This window comes from Homo sapiens, chromosome 11, assembly GCF_000001405.40.
Source record: "Homo sapiens chromosome 11, GRCh38.p14 Primary Assembly".
In the NCBI taxonomy this organism is placed as follows: Eukaryota; Metazoa; Chordata; class Mammalia; order Primates; family Hominidae; genus Homo; species Homo sapiens.
Genome location: NC_000011.10, coordinates 4,595,851 through 4,614,715, shown reverse-complemented (window position 1 = coordinate 4,614,715; position 18,865 = coordinate 4,595,851). Strand labels below are relative to the sequence as shown.

The following is an 18,865-nucleotide window of genomic DNA, read 5'->3' as shown; positions in this document are numbered from 1 at the left end:
AATAAAATAATCACAAATCCTAAGGCCAATAAAGAATGAAAGGAAACCTATAACAAGAATGGCGTTGCTTTCTTAATCAGATTGGCATGGAAATAGCAGTGTCAGATGCATCATTTTAGTCAACAGATAAAAGAATGACAGAGTGCCTTGATGAAGAGTTACAGAGGTATCTACAAGACAGTTTTAGCTTTAGAAGTGGAAACAAATTAAGAGTGTATCAGAAATTGAAGGAAAAAAAATTTCCTTAGGAGTTGAGTTGAAAAATAAAATTAGGGTGAGTTGAAAAAGAAAATTAGGTGTCTTCTGCTAGATCAGAAGACATTCTGATCTAGCAAATATGTGGCTATTATAAGTGGTAGAGAAAAATGGAGCTAATGCGTTTACAAAAAAAATGATGGACCTACTTGTACTGACAGGGAAAAAAAGAGGGAAATAGAGTATTAAAGGAAGTTAAAGTCATAGTTTACTACTTAGTAAAAGAGGTAACAACATTTATAGAAATTCTGGAGAATATAAAGTCTAAGTGAGGAGAAGCAAAAATCTGGGAAGATGTGTATATCCAAGAATAGGTCTCTGGGTCTCTGAAGGCTTGGGCTCTGGAATAAAACAGAAGCTTAGGTTCAGGAACCAGATGATCATGATTTTATAGCTCTCATGAATGTGGCCAGCAATAGTAAACCTCCCGTGGACAGCCAGACTCACAGACCTAAGGAAATCCAGCACAGGAAGAAGGCACTTTGGTGAAGAGCTAAAGAGTCCTTAGAAATTTGTGATAGATGCCATGAAATACAAAGAAAAGAGAGGTACTAAGAACTGTGGAAAATGTCAGGCCTTAAACTTTTTTTGAAATGTATTTTTGCTCAATAGAATGCATCTTGTTTGACATGGTGTGAATATATTTGTCCCTCTAAACTTTATATATTGGAACTTAGTGTGATCGTATTAAGTAATAGAGCCTTTAGGAAGTGATTAAGCCAGGAGGGCTCTGCCCTCATGAATGCGATTAGCAAGCTTATAAAAGGGCTGGAAGGGATGCATTAAGCCCTCTTGCCCTTCTGCATTTTCTGCCATGTGAAGACGAAGACACAGCATTCATCCTCTCTGTAGGGCACAGAGTTTAAGGTCCCATCTTGGAAGCAGGTACCAGGCCCTCACCAGACACCTAACCTGCCAGTGACTTGGTCTTAGGCTTCCCAGTCTCCAGAACTGTGAGAAATACATTTCTATTCTTTATCAATTACTCAGTCTCAGGTATTTTGTTATAACAGCATAAATTGACCAAGACACTGCCCAAAAGAATGTAGCTGTTTCTCCCTAAAGAATACTCTCAATGCTGCACTGGGGTGCTTGGAACAAAATGGACAAAGAGGAGATGGAAAAGGAAGTGTGGAGGTTTTGTAATATGCATAATACTTAAGGGAAGAATGGCATATTGCAAATTTTAATTTGAGAAAACAGAAGTGTTTCATACACCATTTCCTTCAAATAAAAAATTATTTAAATAGGTGGATTTTTTTCTCACATTGTAAGGAAATCATAGTTTCACTCTTCTTTTTATGTATTTATTTATTTATTTTTAATTTTATTATTATTACACTTTAAGTTTTAGGGTACATGTGCACAATGTGCAGGTTTGTTACATATGTATACATGTGCCATATTGGTGTGCTGCACCCATCACCTCGTCATTTAACATTAGGTATATCCTGAGTTAATTTCCGGGCTCTAGACACCAAACGATAGACACCAACTGACAAATAAAACAGTTCTGAAAACCTGAAACCATCAATCCTGTTTTTTCCCCTTGTGTTTCCTTTCTGGTCTCTCCCCAGAGAGCATTATAATTCTCTTTAAGGACTGTGGCCAGTGATGGCAATGTGGATCTAAATTTCTCTTTGACTAGGGAATGAGCTATTATACTATGTGGTAGCCATGTTTTGTTCTGAGGACTTACTTGTGTTTTCCAAGTTTTTGTGAATGTAGAGCTTGTGCTTGTGGTGGGTATTTGTCATTCACTGTAGCTGGCACTTGAGTGCTCTTCCTATGTTTGACCAATTTTCCTTTTCTTGGGGCGTCTACTTCTCCCAAAGAAAAGCCATAGAAGTCACCTTCCTACCTAATTAATCAGCTTTCATACCATGACAGAAAATCCAAAATCTCAGGGGCATACAACAAATGTTTTCACTCACACGTCATGTCCTTGGCTGCAGATAGGTTGCTAGGATCCCAGTCCACATGTCTTTGCATCCAGGACTCAAGCTGAAGCAGGAGCCCCTCTTTGTGATATGCCTTTATTGTGACAATGAGAAAACAACAAAAGGTGGTACAAACATGAAATGTCTCTTAGAGCTTCTCTATGGAACTGAAACACTTCCCTCCATTCCTATTTCAACGACCCAAGATGGTCATATAGCCAAGTCTCATAATGTCCTAGAAAGCATTCTCCAGCTATCGGGAAGCACTGTGAGTCATGAGGCAATGGATGAGATTGTATGTCCCCCTCACAAAAAGGGAGAAAATAGATGGGAATAATCACCCACCATGGGAGAAGGCATTTTGTCTAAGTGCTGTCAATCATGCACACCTCCAGGAAGCCAATTCAGAAGCTAGGAAAATAAAAGCAAAATGCCACATTGAATCATTCTGGTGAAGAGTGCTGACAGAAGAGTAAATCTTCCAGAGATATCAGAGGCAGAGATTCTAGTGTCAGTCTCTGCACCCAGGTTTAGGAGTGAGATCCTAGTTGACTATGCTCAATGGAGCCAGTAGTGGTAGTTCCATCAGAGTGGACCTATGGGGTAATTTGATGATGTTCCTGCATACATCATCAATGGACTACCAAATGTTCTTTAATAAGTCCTTTTTATGCTTAAAATAGGTTTCTGGCATTTTCAACTCTTGTTTTTAGTAGGCATTTTGATTGACTGGCTCTTCTCTCAGTTGTCTGCTATTCACGTGGCAATGAGTTAGGCCAAATCCCTACAAACACATTTTACACTCTGATAAGAAGACTATATAATTTAGTATTTTCCACTATAGAGAATATGCCTTCTCTTCCAGTACCTTCTGAACAATTATATAATGCAATTATATAGTTGGCCACAAAACAGTTTCCCAAATGATAAGTTATAATGGCATTTTTTAAACTCTTATTGCATTGTGGTTATAAAATGCTAACAAACCTAAATAAATTATATATATAGAGAGAGAATTTCAATTTAATTAAGTAATTTCAAGAGAAAAGCAAATTTGAAACTGTGCTTAATAATTTTTTTAATAACAAATGATAACGAAAGCACCAAGATGATTTATGGTATATAGCCTGACTTATATTTAGGGAAAACTTTACACTCCTCAATCAATGCAAGAAGCAAGAAAAATAAGACAATAAATATAAGTAAAATAAATCAAGAAAAAATAATAAAGATAAAATCAGAAAAAAATTGAAATAACAAATTAACAGGTTCTTTGAAAGGAACAATCAATTAGACAGATCTTTGGAAAGAAAGATATGTCACTCAGAAAAAAAAACATAAAGTAGTGGTAAATATATAATATCAGGGATTAGAATCAAGAAAAAAACTCAAAGTAATGGCAAATAAAAATAAAAATAATTATTTGTGTAATTGTTCATAACCATGGAGACACTGATACTTTGAGAATAGTAACTTACTGAAACAGATTCGACATTTAAAGAACTTGAATTAGACATCAAATACAAGGACATATAAAGCTACTTCTTCTTGTTTTAATCTAATGCAACTCTGATATCAAAACTAATAACAGCATTTGGCTTGTTCTGCTTCCCACTGTACAAAAGTCTTACTGTTAGTTGTGTGTCACTATTAACAATTGCTATTGTAATATACATCTATATTCTGATATATACCTTTTTATTTAGTTATTTATGTCTCTCTGTCTCATGCACACACACACACACACACACACACACATATGCTGCCATTTTCCTGTCCATGGCATCTCACACTGAAACTGCCCCACCACATCCTTGCTAGATCTTCCTATTACTGTTCCTTTCGTCTGCTTCTGAAATTGTTCTCTCTTTTCTACTTCCTGCTTCTTAATTTTTTGGAACACTTAAACTCTAATATAAAATCTAGGTGACAGCCTCAACCCAGAAGCACTTTCAGAAAGGCTCTCCACCACCTGTAGACAGAATTCTATGTTTTAATTTCTAGACTCACTTCCCCTTCCATCCCTGACCTCCTTCCTCTGCCAAAGTGAAAGTGGTAACGAAGTCCTGCAGATTTTCCCCTCTAGGCAGGAATTTCCTCTCTCTTAGCCAAGGCTAGCACTGAGTAGATAGGGACGGGAGGCCCTAATCTCCTACTTGGACTCCTGGGAGATGTCAGTTTTGCCTTCTGGAAACTGAAAACAATCTGGAATAGAGGAAACAGGAGGTATTAACTCCATCATAAGAGGTCCAGTAGGAGACTTTCAAGGTGGAGCGGGGTATCTACTCATGGTCTAGGCTATACTCCTACCCTCCTCCTTCCACCCCTAGCAGGTTCTCCTGCTGACTGACACACCACTAACACAGACAGCTATTTCTTCCCCTTTAAAGCCTTCAAGACTAAGATTATATTCTCATCAAGCCTAAGATTATACAAAACTAACTGAGGGTGTGGCTCATGCTTCCTCAGAAAGAGTAAGAGAAGAAAATAAATTAGGGGTCTCTAAGCAAGCATGTTGTATGACATGCAATAAGGTCAGTCTCTGGTCTCTTTCCAGAAAACCAGGCCTCAGATTTGTACTAACCCCCTAACTCTTCCTTAGTCCTACTTCTTCAGTGCCCCAAACAGTTCTCAGTTCTTGCTTCTCCTTTGATGCTACTCCTCCCCTAGAGCACAGATGGACACCATCCTACAGTTAGCCACTCATCTTGTTGTCCTGGTCTATCCTGGATTCAGGGCAGAGGGTTGGGGTCTGCAGCTACAGCTGTGGAATTTGTCCACGACAGAGCCTCACCTGGACACACCTGTCTCACAGCAAACAAATAAAGAAACAAACAAAACATTCTGAAGACATCTGTAAAGGAAAGCTTCTATGCCTTGGAAGTAAACTGGTCTGTCTTCAAAAGCCCTCTCTCCAGCCTTCCCCACATGAACGCAAGCCCCCACCCCCAGCTACCCTGATTGCCAGGGTTCTTGACAGTCCGTCATAGTTACAAATTGCACCTTACACATGAAAATGATCTCCCCATTAACTGTTTTAACTTCACAGAGATTCCAGAGCAGTACAACCAACTTGACCTTCAGCTCCTTAAAGGCAGAGACTATATGTCCCATAGTTGTAATCCCAGCACCCAGTAAAATATTGTCAAGAAAATTGATGTTAAATAAATGTTTAAAATGGCTTATTTCAATTAATCCATTCATTATTCTATTAGAGCAGCCATTTCTCCAAAACTGGGTGAGACAGAGGGTACAGCTCAGACCTAAGATACTTTTGTTTTTTCTCATAGACCTATTTGTTGCAGGAAATTTCTGGGCCTCACCCTTCAGAATTTTAACCATGGCCGGGGCTCAGACACTGGCATGAGCATTCTGGAGTATCTGTCCTAACAATTAAGATATTATATAATTTGGAACCGAGCTTCAATTGGAAGATTTCCTGGTTATTTTCTATGCGGATAGGAGGTGCCTTCACTTGCTTATTAAAACCTAAGTGTCAAGAGAAGGACAAGGCCCTGGGAGTACAAAGAAAAACCCATATCACTGTCTTAAGTAACAGTTTTTGTGTGTGCGTGCATGTGTCTATGTGTTTGGGTGAGGAAGGGATACCAGTTGTTTAATTTTTTTTTCCTTTTTTAATGACAATTTTTGACCAGGGTTTCCATTTCTCCATCAACTCCCGGTCTCTGTTGTCTGTTTTTCACTCTAAAAGTGGATTGTGGCAATAGTGATGACAAGCTGGTTGCTGAAGTAAAAACGAAAAAAGAGAGGGTTTTGTTTTGTTTTGTTTTGTTTTGTTTAAGAACCCAGTATTTAAAGCCTGGAACCATGAGAGGTCGCGAATCTTGCCAGGAACAGCAGAGTCCACACCATATGTGCGCCCAACCCTTTGCTAAGATGGGTCACAGAACCAGACTTGGCCAATCTCAGGCTTCTGAGTTTAACAAGTCAAACTGGCAAATGAATAGCCACCTGAGCCTCTCTTAATGCAGTGCCTGAGCGGCATCATTTGGGAGCCTCAATCCTTTGACCTATCCTAGAACTAACTCCTAGAACCCTCTACAGTTTAAGGGAATCTGAGTCGGTGAAGGGACCAGAAAAACCCAGGAAGTAGAGAAAAAACATTGACATGCCTAGAAGCGCCGAAACCCCCGTCTCATCACCAATTGGCTAGGGGTACCCTGGTCCCTGCCTGTGATTGGCTGCCCCCACAAACACACCGCCCCCTGGGCGAAGCCAACCTGGGCCCAGCCGGCCGCTCATTGGCTGCCGTCCCGCGAGCGGGGCCTAGAGCCGGGTGTAGTATTCTGGGAGCTGCGGGCTACTGGGCCTGCGCTGCCGGGCTTTGGGTTCTGGGCCTCTGCCGCTCTCTGGCCCTAAGTGCTGAGCTGCCGGGAACGGCAGCTTCTGACGCTGGGCCATTGGACGCTGCGGAACCAGGCTTCTTCACTTTGAGTTTCCGCCGCGAAGCGCCAGTCCGGGCCGAGGAGGGAGGTGGGTAGATAACTCTGCCTTTTCTGAAGTCAGATCCCGCACGCTCACTTTACCCCCACCCGCCCGCTGTCCTGGGGACCTGCCCAACGCCCTGTGGCCAGGCCAGGAGCTGCTCCCTGACTCCGGAGGTTACCGCCCGCCCCTCGACTCCCTTCCCGCTGGGGTCCTAACTGGAAGTCTTCCAGGCCCCGCCCCCTTCTCAAATGCCCTTCTCAGACTCTCGCTGTACCCTACGGAAGGCACAGTCAAAGCAACCGAACGTTTAATTATTTGAATTTTCTCAAAGTAATTCATGTATAATAAAAAGTCAAACATTAAAGCAGGTCTTATTTTGAAGAGCAGTAACTACCCATCCCCAGATCTTTGCAGAGGCTGCCACTTTTAGTTTGTCCCCATTTAGATGTTTTTAGCACCCTAAATCAAAATAATATGCGTTCCACTGTATTTCTGGATTTATCATTTTGATATTTCTTTGCCTTACTTTCTTACTGCCACAATCTTGTCAATTTTCCATCGCTATTTTAGGTCTTCCATTTGTAGCTTTAAATAATGGGTATCAACTTCCATTTATTGTTTTATTGACTTTAGATGGTGTCTCTTAATGTCTCTACTGACTTAGCTAAGGATATTAACACATCCTCCACTTTCAATCTACTATCGGTTGGAACTCAACATTTACATTTAGTTTTCACGTATTCAACAAGTATTTGAGGCACTGTTCTTGGCACTGGGGAAATAGAAATGGACAAAACAGACAATGACCCTATCCACATGAAAAAGTTCTAGTATGGGAAGTAAGACAATAGACGAATACATGGCAAATGACGTCAAAGGCAGGATCATGTAGAAGTCATTTTCAGCTGGGAGAATAGCAGGCACCCAAGTCAGGTAGATTGAATGGACGAGGGGTTTGCGGGAGTGTGTGGAAGTTTATTCCTTTGCCTAGCTGGGCACAGGTGCTGTTTCAAGGAGAGATCTTGTTAACCGGGAGCCAGGATAGATTATTTAGTAAGTTAGTGATTTACCAAAATGAGGTTTTAGGATACTGGATCCCACAGTTTGGTAGTGATAGTGGGAGGAAGAAAAGCAGGAGGCAGGGAGTCTAGTGAGAAGGCATGCCCTGCCAATGGCATATCAGAGTCCTGCAAGATTTACTGCTCTGCTTCCTGCTTCCTGCTACTGGACTGCGCTAAACCACAGTGATTTTTCTCTCCTCTTGAATTTGTATTATACCTTAAAGCTAAAGAGGTTAAGAAATTTGCCCAAGATAGATGGCAGAGCCCCAAGCCAAACATCTGTAAAATGAGAACAATAATGGCCTCTGCCTAGGGTTGTGAAATAAACCAACTTAATTCATGTAAAGTGCTCAGAACAGTGCCTGGCACATCATAGAACTGCTCAAAGAGTGCTTGCTTTTATTATTAATGTATGCTCTCAATTTACCTCACAAATGCTAAAAGGATTTTGGGTTTAGGAACTATTTCCTATGTCTAGCTGGTTAATTCATTCAACAAATATTTACTCAGCAATATCTGCATTGCAGGTGCTGTTTAGGTGCTGAGGATACAACAGGAACTAGGATCAACATGTCCCTTCCTTGTATAGATTCTAGCTGGTAACACAAACTAGCAAAGTGAATGAATAAATATTGCCAACTGAGCCAAGAGCCTGCCATTGACCAAGTTCCATGCCCATATGTGGCCCTGGCAAAAATCTCAGATTTCTTGCTGGTGTAGTGATTTCATCAATATGGGTGTGATGATCATCAAATGATCTTTGTTTTAATCTCCAAGGGATGTTATTTCATCTCTGCTTCTAGCATATCACTAAAAGCTCAGAAGACTACCTTGACATCTTGGTGAATAATAAGTACATTAGTGCTGGAGCAGTGGGCAGGGGTTTAAAAGGCACAGGAAAAGAACTGCTGTTTCCTTTACAGTTTTTGCATTTTAGTGTGCAACACAAGAAAACAAATTGAGCTTGTAGGCAATGGGCTTCTGGCATACTACCTTTTGACACTTTGAATTATATTAATGTAAATATAAACATACCAGAGAGTGAGGCTGGAGGTATTTATGGCCTTACTTCAGATACTGAAATACCACATTTTATGTGAACTTACCCAAGTTTAAGAGAAATAATGCTGATTTGTAGAGCATGATTGGAGTGGTAATGGTCAAGTAGAGCAAACCCAGAGGAAAATCAGAGTTGACCAAGTGAATGAAAACCGAGGACTCCCAATATTCACTCACTTAGGCATCCCCATTATCCCCTTCATGGTATGAGTAATGTGGCCCGTTCAGACCATGCACCCTTCAGTTGGAAAGGCCAATGCTTATTAAAGAAGGTCAGTAAAGGGTCAAAAGGAAGGTGGTTTTCCCCCAGAAATTAATTATTCCTGTTACTGATCTCTCTGTTCCTCTGTTACCTTTTTCTCTTATTTGTCTTTCTTTTCTTCTTCTCAGCCTTTACTACTTCTCCCTGGTTTCATTCATGTTCTGAGGAGGGTGTGAGAAGGAACCATGGATCCCACAGCCTTGGTGGAAGCCATTGTGGAAGAAGTGGCCTGTCCCATCTGTATGACCTTCCTGAGGGAGCCCATGAGCATTGACTGTGGCCACAGCTTCTGCCACAGCTGTCTCTCTGGACTCTGGGAGATCCCAGGAGAATCCCAGAACTGGGGTTACACCTGTCCCCTCTGTCGAGCTCCTGTCCAGCCAAGGAACCTGCGGCCTAATTGGCAGCTGGCCAATGTTGTAGAAAAAGTCCGTCTGCTAAGGCTACATCCAGGAATGGGGCTGAAGGGTGACCTGTGTGAGCGCCATGGGGAAAAGCTGAAGATGTTCTGCAAAGAGGATGTCTTGATAATGTGTGAGGCCTGCAGCCAGTCCCCAGAGCATGAGGCCCACAGTGTTGTGCCAATGGAGGATGTTGCCTGGGAGTACAAGGTGAGAGATGGAAGCTGGCCACTCCAGTCTAACCCCGGCCCCAAGTTGGCTGTTTCTAGATCAAGGGCTTGACCACCAGCACCACAGACTGAGAGCTAACTCCTTTGGTTCCTGACACCCAGAGATCCCTGGAATCTGATACAGAGAGCTATACCTTTCCTTGTATTCATGACCTTCCTTGATTTCCTGCTCTCCCACTTCCTCTACACCTACATCCTAACAGGGCTCAATTCCTAACCCAAGGCTGATTTCAGTAATGAGAATGTGAAGGAAAACAGTTTGGGTTTTAACTGAGATTCTGGATGCCTTGGATGAGTTTAGGCATGAGGCTCTTATATAGATGGTCAAGGCTACACCTGACCTGCAAACTCCTCCTAGCAGTGCTGCAAGTAGTCATTTGGCATTGAATGGATCACTTCCCTCCTTCATTTTATAGACAAAAGTGAGGCTTAGAAAGTTGAAAACATGGCAATTTATTTTAGAGGTGGAAAGAACTATGGGTGAGTCACAAGATTGAGAGAGGTCATCTGATATAGTCTTCTCAGGTCCTTTCTGACTTCAGGTCCAGTTAGTGAAAGGAAGATCAGAGGCTGTGACTCAAGTCTTCTTGCACTTTCTCCTCTCCCAAGTTTGTTTGTTTGACAAGTCATCTCTGACAAACCTGGGACTCCTTTTTTGTAGCTAACCTCATCAACTTCCAGCTTCTGGGCTTCTCTTTACTCTTTCATCAGATGCCCATAATGACATCTTTATCGGAACCATTATCTCAGTGATTCTGTGATCCAGTGATCCAGCATTGGTCTCAACTCTCTTTTTTGGAGTTGAAATAGGAAGGTGAGAGTGTAAGACAAATCCCCTGAATTAGCTTTTTTCCTATATGGGAGGGATTTCTAAAATATGAAAAGTATTTACTAACTCATTCTGTTTTTGAGACTATTAGAAAAGGGAGCTAGTATAACATAGGGGTAAAGGGCTGGATGAAATCCCAGCCCAACCATTTATTACCTGAATGACTTTGGGTAGGTCACCCTCTAAGCCTCAGTTTTCTTGTCTATAAAATAAGGTTAATACCAGCCTCAGAGGATTGTAAGTATCACATGCATATTTAGAGCTGAAAATATACCTGACACTTGATATATTTTAACAAAATAGTTGCTATTTTGTTAAAATAGCAGAATTAAATGGTGTTTCTGCACAGTTTATGCTTTTCAGTAGAAATCCCTTGCATTACTATTCTAGGAAAGTGCTTCTTACCCTTAATAAGCATATGAACCACCTGGGAGATCCATCTAAAATTGAGATTCTCATTTGGTAGGTCTAAAGTAAGGCCAAGATTCTGCATTTCTAACAAGCTCCTAGGTGATGTGGATGCTGCTGATCCACTTGAACCACATTTGGAGTAACAAGGTTCTGGCAGACAGTAAGATAAAAATAAATAAGATAAGGATAAAAATTGGCATGGAAAGGAAAGTCCAAGGTACTTTTGTGGAGAGGTTGTAAATGGACCTTTTCTTCCAGTTTACAGACATTTAGAGACTGTGGGAGTTGAAATGATTCTCAGCCCAGAGAGCTACCTCGGATGTCATCTGGGCAGAGTCTGCTTCCTCTGTGGCATTCCCTTTCCCCACAGCCTTCACTGTGGCCGGTTGCCTGAAGGACTCTGGTTCTCCCATAGCCTCCCAGTGCTAGGAAGCCTAGGCTGCCGGAGGTGGCCTCATGAGGGTTTTGTCTCTTGCAGTGGGAACTTCATGAGGCCCTCGAACATCTGAAGAAAGAGCAAGAAGAGGCCTGGAAGCTTGAAGTTGGTGAAAGGAAACGAACTGCCACCTGGAAGGCAGGTTGCCTCGTGGGGAAAGGAGTTTGTGTCAGTCGTCCTGTGTGGTCCTGGAGCTGGCCTAGGGTAGCATTCTCATCACTGTGAGGCAGAATGTGAGGCTTGAAATCACAGAGCCTAGGGTTCTAATCCCTGCTTTCTCTGTCCCAGGCCTTAGGTAGGCCACGTCACCTCTTAATTCCAGTTTCTCCATGGGGATGTAGGGATAACCTCTGGTCTTGTATCCTCCTATATGAGAAAGGAAAAGCACATGCTCACGTGTGTCAGCTCACAGTGGCATGGCTTATATCATGCTTGTAAAGCAGAGTTTCTCTTTCATTTTCCCAAGTTAGAGAATATTTGCTAAGAGTCTGGTTATTAAAATATTGTAAAATCACCTCTGAAATAAATTTGAGGCCAGTAAGTATCAAACTACTAGAACTTTTGATCAACAGAAAGTAACACTGAACCAATCTAAAACAGCATGTTGAACAGATATAATATCAACATGAAAATGAACCACCTAACAGTGTAGTTAAGTTACACTGCCTTAGAGACTTAAATGTAACACATCTTGTCATTATTCTGAAAATGGAAAATAGTCTAGAGCATGTAGTATTAAGATAATATCCTGGACCCTACTGGAGTCAATAAGAGTGACAATAGAGACCTAGAAGCATGTGGTGGAGCTGGGAGAACAGGAAGCTAGGAAAAATAGTATCCTTTATCTTTGCCCCTGCATAGCCTGTCACGTGGTTGGTACCATTGCAGAGTATGTGTGTATGCATATGTCAGTATGCTCGATACTGGGTGACTGAAAGTATCAGTGCTGATTTCCATCTTGGCTCCACAGATACAGGTGGAAACCCGAAAACAGAGTATTGTATGGGAGTTTGAAAAATACCAGCGATTACTAGAGAAAAAGCAGCCACCACATCGGCAGCTGGGGGCAGAGGTAGCAGCAGCTCTGGCCAGCCTACAGCGGGAGGCAGCGGAGACCATGCAGAAACTGGAGTTGAACCATAGCGAGCTCATCCAGCAGAGCCAGGTCCTGTGGAGGATGATTGCAGAGTTGAAAGAGAGGTCGCAGAGGCCTGTCCGCTGGATGTTGCAGGTGAGTAGTAGGTTTTCCTGGTAACCCTGAGTGACAGCTGAAGATAGACTGAGACTCCAGGAGAGAGCATCAGTTACCCTTCAGTAGGGACTGCCAGCCCTCTGCCAGCTGGTCATGGATCCTGTGTTTCCCCAGCTAATACCTGCTGTTTCCCTATCCCTGGCTGGTGGATGACCTGGTCTGTTGTAGCATCATAGGTGGGGCAGTGCTCAGGCAGCTCTGGCGTCATTCCAGGCCCTCTCCTCTAGCCCGAGAGTCTTGAGATGGAGCCTGAAATTGGCCAGTTCAGCCAAAGCTCAGCCTGCTCTTCCATCCTTCCATAGGCTTCTCCTTACCTCTGCATGGCATCTCTCCATTCTTGGTATCTGTCTCCCTTCCCCTAGAGAAACTCCCTGCCAGTTCGATGTCTGTTCCCTCTGAGGAATAGCACTTACTCAGATGCTGCATTTTTTTTTCTCCTTCCAGGATATTCAGGAAGTGTTAAACAGGTATGTTCTCACCCTTGGAGCCTCTAAGCAGCCCTGTAGGGGATAGTGAGGCCTAACTAGAGCCAGAAGTAGGGACGGAGCACAGACTCGGTGCACACAGAAAAGCAGGTGCTGGTCCACAGTCTCGTCCCACTTACATGGTAATGGCTAAGGAATCTTTGTTGATCTTTCCTTTTTCTTCTTTGTACTTGATCAAATGTATATCAAGTGAAGCTGTAAAATATGTGGTTTCAAGTAGATTGCTCAAAGAGGATAAAAGACTGCCCATGACTCCTTCATGTCCGACAGAAAATGTGTGCACTTCTTCCTCTCCCAGAATCAAATATACATCCAACCCTTCCCATAGCATGGGCATGCAGGTGTTCTCACCTCTGCACACAAACAGCTTGAGGCTCAGCCAAATAACCGTAACCATCATGTCTCTGCTTTGCTGGGGTTCACTATGTCCCTGGCCAAGCCCCTCTTCCCTGTACTAAGATAAGGCCCATGTGACAAAGCCGGGACTCCTGGCCCTGAGGTTCACCCTCCTCTACCAGGAGCAAATCTTGGAGCTTGCAGCAGCCAGAACCAATCTCCCTGGAGTTGAAGACAGATTGCCGTGTGCTGGGGCTAAGAGAGATCCTGAAGACTTATGCAGGTAATGGATCCTGGGGGAGACTGTAGTGGACAGTGGGAGGGACCCCTCCCAGAGATAGAAAATGGTTCAGTGCCCTCTGGGTGCTCCATCCAGCCTCACCCCTTCATCATTGAGAAATCTGTGGCTGAATTTATCAGAGGGCTCTCACCCATGTCCCCTGGCCCTATATCACTGTTACCAACCAGGACCTTTTCTTCTAGCTGATGTGCGCTTGGATCCAGATACTGCTTACTCCCGTCTCATCGTGTCTGAGGACAGAAAACGTGTGCACTATGGAGACACCAACCAGAAACTGCCAGACAATCCTGAGAGATTTTACCGCTATAATATCGTCCTGGGAAGCCAGTGCATCTCCTCAGGCCGGCACTACTGGGAGGTGGAGGTGGGAGACAGGTCTGAGTGGGGCCTGGGAGTATGTAAGCAAAATGTAGACCGGAAGGAGGTGGTCTACTTATCCCCCCACTATGGATTCTGGGTGATAAGGCTGAGGAAGGGAAATGAGTACCGAGCAGGCACCGATGAGTACCCAATCCTGTCCTTGCCGGTCCCTCCTCGCCGGGTGGGAATCTTCGTGGATTATGAGGCCCATGACATTTCTTTCTACAATGTGACTGACTGTGGCTCCCACATCTTCACTTTCCCCCGCTATCCCTTCCCTGGGCGCCTCCTGCCCTATTTTAGTCCTTGCTACAGCATTGGAACCAACAACACTGCTCCTCTGGCCATCTGCTCCCTGGATGGGGAGGACTAAGAAAGCTACCACCCTAACCAGAGAGGCTTGGAATTGGGCCTGGCCCCCATGGGGCTTGGAGGACCGAGCCACTGACAGGTATCCCCTGAAACTGAGCTGAGCCCAGTATCCAAGGATTCCTCTGTCTGATCCTTTGGTCTTTGCTACCAGGCTGAAGTCTGTCATGAAACCACTTATTTTAAAAAGCAGAGGCCCAGTCAAATGAGCATTGCATCCCATGAGGGAAGCACGACAGGGCTGATGGTGAGGATCAGAGCAGTTCTAAGGTGACTCGTTGGGGTAAGGATCAGGACTTTGTCCATGTAGTAGCCAACCACCCTCTTCCCTGATTCCCGTCCGGTGTCACAGTTCAGTCAGTGAGGATGATGAAGTAGATACAGTCTTCAGGACACCATTAGATGGGCTTTCCCAATAGGCCAAAAAAATGCTGCGCATACCCAGAGCTGGTTGTTGTGCTGAGGCCAGTCAGAGGATGCTTCCCCTGAGGTTTGCTATAACTAAGCAACCTTTATGTGACTCTCACCTTCTGACCTCCTGGCAAGAGAAATTCAGTGCAGCAGGGGGACACAGACCTGCCCAAGCCACCCCACTGCCGTTCCCTCTCTGAGCACAAGCTGGGCAAATCACTGTCCCTTGGACTCCAGGAGACCAGTGTCCTAGTCTTGCCTTTTTTCTCTAAGTGGCAGGATCAGAAAACCTGCGAGCTTTAGTTTGTATTTTCACTTTATGAATGAGGAAACTGAAATGGCCTTAAGGGAGCAAGTTATTTCTTTTTTTTTGACACGGAGTCTCACTCTGTTGCCCAGGCTGGAGTGCAGTGGCACGATCTCGGCTCACTGCAGGCTCTGCCTCCTGGGTTCACGCCATTCTCCTGCCTCAGCTTCCCGAGTAGCTGGGACTACAGGCGCCCACCACGACGCCTGGCTCATTTTTTTGTATTTTTAGTAGAGACGGAGTTTCACCATGTTAGCTAGGATGGTCTCGATCTCCTGACCTCATGATCCGCCCTCCTCAGCCTCCCACAGTGCTGGGATTAGAGGCATGAGCCACTGCGCCCGGCCCCTGGAGCAAGTTATTTCTTACAAAGCTGCTGAAGGTAAGATTATCAAAATTATAAAGCATTTTTCACACTCAAGTGAAACAAGGTTGACAAACTCACTTCGCAGGTCACATGCCTATACATCACTTATTATATTTGGGTCTGAAACTTCTCACATGTTTGGGAGGTTTTATGTGTCCTCATTGGGAAAATGGGTGTAATTCAGCATAAAACCTCATATGATTGTCCTGCCTCATGGAGCTGTTGTATAGATCCCAGATCCATCCCATGATTTGTTCCTGTCTGAGGCATAGAGGCAGGCAAGCCGTGGATTTTGCACATGGTGACTTTCCCACTGTGCCATGATACAGTCTGCATCTTATAGCAGTGCCTTTGTCTCAGGGCCTCTGCTGGCAGTCTAGACCTTTTGGGCAGAAAGGAGCTTCAAATGGCTGTGATAAGGAATATTAAAAATTGTGTTTCTACTTTAATTGTATTGGCTGTTCATGTATGTAGGAGTTAAAATAGGCCAAACTGGAGAAATAAACGCATTCTGTCCACCATGCTTCCAGACTGCTTCTTGAGAATCAGTAGTAGAAGGGGAGAAGTTTCCATCAGCTGCCTGGAGGGGAATGAGCTAGTGAGGCACAGACCCTGGTGCTGGCCAAGGGTTGAGCCTGCCTCAATTAGAGGAGCATCTTTGTCAGGGGATTCCCTGGGGGTAACTGAGAAGTAGGTCCCTAGGAAGGACTTCAGTTCTGTCTGTGGACAATTGGGACAAAAGGGTTAAGGGAAAATCAATGTTGTTCTTTGGCTATTAAGACAAATCTTGGAAGGTTCCTAGAAACGGAGGATTGTTAGCTGATAAATTCATTCGAACTTAGAATGAAGGAAGGAATGAAATGGCCTCATTTGTAATGTACTCTTTTTGGTTGGTTTGATTGTTTTTTACATTTATAAGCCTGTTTGGGTACTCTGATTACTTGTTAGAAGACTCGTAAGGTTAAACAATCCACATTATTACAGATTGTCTGATTTTTACGACCAGACAAGAAGATTGAAGCTCTAAGTGCCTGAAAACCCTTTTCTACAGAGTAGTTGTTTACACTTCCCTTCTGAGAACCATATGAAAACAAGGACCTTATTTGTCTGTTCACCACTGTACCCCTAGTCTAGTACTCTGTGTGTGTGTGTGTGTATTAAATATTTAAGTGAGGGAACTTTCATTCACATGACTAGAATCAAAACAAAAATAACCTGCTTTTATCTAAAAGGGGCAGTAAAAACTAGAGGATACCTAATTATACTTCTGTTCAAATATGAATTTAATGGATAATTTCTTTTACTGTACCTTTCATATGTGGTCTAGTAGGGCAGAAGGTAGGTGGCCATGTGGAGGTGGAGTGCCTGCACTGCTCCCTGCAATGCCTAGGGTGGCATCCCCAGTTTGGTGCAAGCCTTCACTGCAAGGCAGGGACAAGCTTTGCCTACTCTTGTTTTGCAGAGAAACTGACGGATGCAATACCTGAATGTTAAGGGAGAAGGCTGCAAAGAGGGTAAAATGCCTGGGTACTGCAAAGAAAGAAAAAAGGTAGACATAGGGGCAAAGCCTTGGGTTCAAAACTACCTACAGATAGGCAGTCTTCATTTTTTTCAATCAGGATTGGTTGTAATCTCTTAAAATCCAAACATTAAGGATCTACTGTGCATCCCAGGCACTAGTTAAGAGAGCACACGTGGCTTCATGTGATGGACCAGGGGCCATATCTGAATGTATGGTGAGAAGCACAGGTTTTTCCATTCGGGGTAGCCATGGAAAGGAATCAGCACACTTTGGGAAGTATGTGGTTCAGTAAATACTTGAGTACTAGCAGTAGGTTCCATCTACTTTTAGAATAATCCAATGAGAATGAAACGCAAACCTGGTAAGGCAAGCTTCCTGATGGAAATGCTGGGAAGAAATTAGTGTTTGGGGTGCAGGCTGGACTATAACTTTGTTGCTTTACATCAGATTCTTTAATGCATCTAATATGCTTTCATTTAATGGACCTAGCCAATTTTTCATGTTACTTATGGAGAAAGAATAATGTGACATTTCAAAATGAAAATCTTATCAAATGTGTTTAACAATCTTATAATCTTATAATCTTGTTTTTTTATGTTATAACCTCATAATCTTGTTTTGTTTTTACGTTAGGGGGTTGTGAGGGAAAAAAGTTTCACTTTCCTGCCCTTTGGGACCTCTGTGCATCATTATCAGATTTTTAAGAGGCTGATTTCTACTCTGCTGGTATTCAAAAATTGAATACATTCTTGGCAGGTAAACAAGTCTAATATTAGTAGAAAGTATAGATGTTAAGTTACTAAGGAGCTTGTCCATTTGAAAGAGTTGTCATATGAGTACTGGGCAGTATAGGACTACTCCCTTAAAATTATGGAATTAAAAATGTATTGGGTATATTTTTAAGTTCATACAATATGTCAGAGTTTGTGTTATCTGCTTTCCATGTTTTATTTAATTTTTAATACTCTGAATTAATGTTGTTTTTCAGTAGACAGGAAGTGTTAAGACTCAGATATAGTAGCTTGCTGTTAACAGTTTCCTCTCGCACTTTAATTTTAACACTAGTAGGAAATTATCTTTTTATTAAGATTTTCAAATGTACATATCTCTTATATATAAGATCTTTTTCTTTTAACGTATACTGATTACTCAGTTCAAGATTTTCTGAAGGGGAAAAACAAAACCAAAAATCATGGAAGCATCCAGTGACCTGGAGAAGAGTGATTACATTTCAACTTCCTTTTTTTTTTTTTTTTTTTATTATACTTTAAGTTTTAGGGTACATGTGCACAATGTGCAGGTTTGTTACATATGTATACATGTGCCATGTTGGTGTGCTGCACCCATCAACTCGTCATTTAACATTAGGTATATCTCCTAATGCCATCCCTCCCCCTTCCCCCCACCCCACAACAGGCCCTGGTGTGTGATGTTCCCCTTCCTGTGTCCATGTGTTCTCATTGTTCAGTTCCCACCTATGAGTAAGAACATGCGGTGTTTGGTTTTCTGTCCTCGTGATAGTTTGCTGAGAATGATGGTTTCCAGCTTCATCCATGTCCCTACAAAGGACATGAACTCATCATTTTTTTATGGCTACGTAGTATTCCATGGTGTCTATGTGCCACATTTTCTTAATCCAGTCTATCATTGTTGGACATTTGGGTTGGTTCCAAGTCTTTGCTATTGTCAACTTCTTTATCTACATTGTTTTCTATTAGCCTCTTCATCACAGAGCACACCCCCTGAGAGGTGCCCACAAGAAGAAAGACCTGTGTATATTTGATCCCTTTCTTTTATGCCTTAAGGTTAAGTTACACGGACT

General features: G+C 42.9%; 1 protein-coding gene across 2 annotated transcripts, besides 2 other annotated features; it reads left to right on the top strand.

Annotated features, from left to right (window-relative positions):
* Positions 6,321–6,530: a silencer, noted in NCBI's record as "silent region_3096". NCBI's record gives its function as "represses an Ori minimal core promoter by ATAC-STARR-seq in GM12878 lymphoblastoid cells {active_cell/tissue: GM12878}" and the evidence as "EXISTENCE:reporter gene assay evidence [ECO:0000049][PMID:35858748]".
* Positions 6,485–16,044, top strand: TRIM68 (tripartite motif containing 68). 2 transcript variants are annotated; one of them, NM_018073.8, is made up of 7 exons: positions 6,485–6,689; positions 9,155–9,637; positions 11,376–11,471; positions 12,304–12,564; positions 13,030–13,052; positions 13,589–13,689; positions 13,890–16,044. In NM_018073.8, exons 2-7 carry the CDS (start codon positions 9,212–9,214, stop codon positions 14,438–14,440), a joined length of 1,458 nt encoding a protein of 485 aa, NP_060543.5. In that variant the 5' UTR covers positions 6,485–6,689; positions 9,155–9,211; the 3' UTR covers positions 14,441–16,044. The 2 variants fall into 2 exon arrangements, with proteins under 2 accessions (NP_060543.5, NP_001291425.1); NM_001304496.2 differs by lacking the exon at positions 9,155–9,637.
* Positions 6,841–6,920: a silencer, noted in NCBI's record as "silent region_3095". NCBI's record gives its function as "represses an Ori minimal core promoter by ATAC-STARR-seq in GM12878 lymphoblastoid cells {active_cell/tissue: GM12878}" and the evidence as "EXISTENCE:reporter gene assay evidence [ECO:0000049][PMID:35858748]".
* Positions 16,045–18,865: the final 2,821 nt, after the last annotated feature.

Coding starts and splice junctions, on each gene's coding strand:
- TRIM68 (NM_018073.8), top strand. CDS start 9,212: ATGGATCCCACAGCCTTGGTGGAAGCCATTGTGGAAGAAGTGGCCTGT. Junction 12,565..13,029: donor CTGTCCGCTGGATGTTGCAG/GTGAGTAGTAGG, acceptor TTCTCCTTCCAG/GATATTCAGGAAGTGTTAAA. Junction 13,690..13,889: donor GATCCTGAAGACTTATGCAG/GTAATGGATCCT, acceptor CTTTTCTTCTAG/CTGATGTGCGCTTGGATCCA.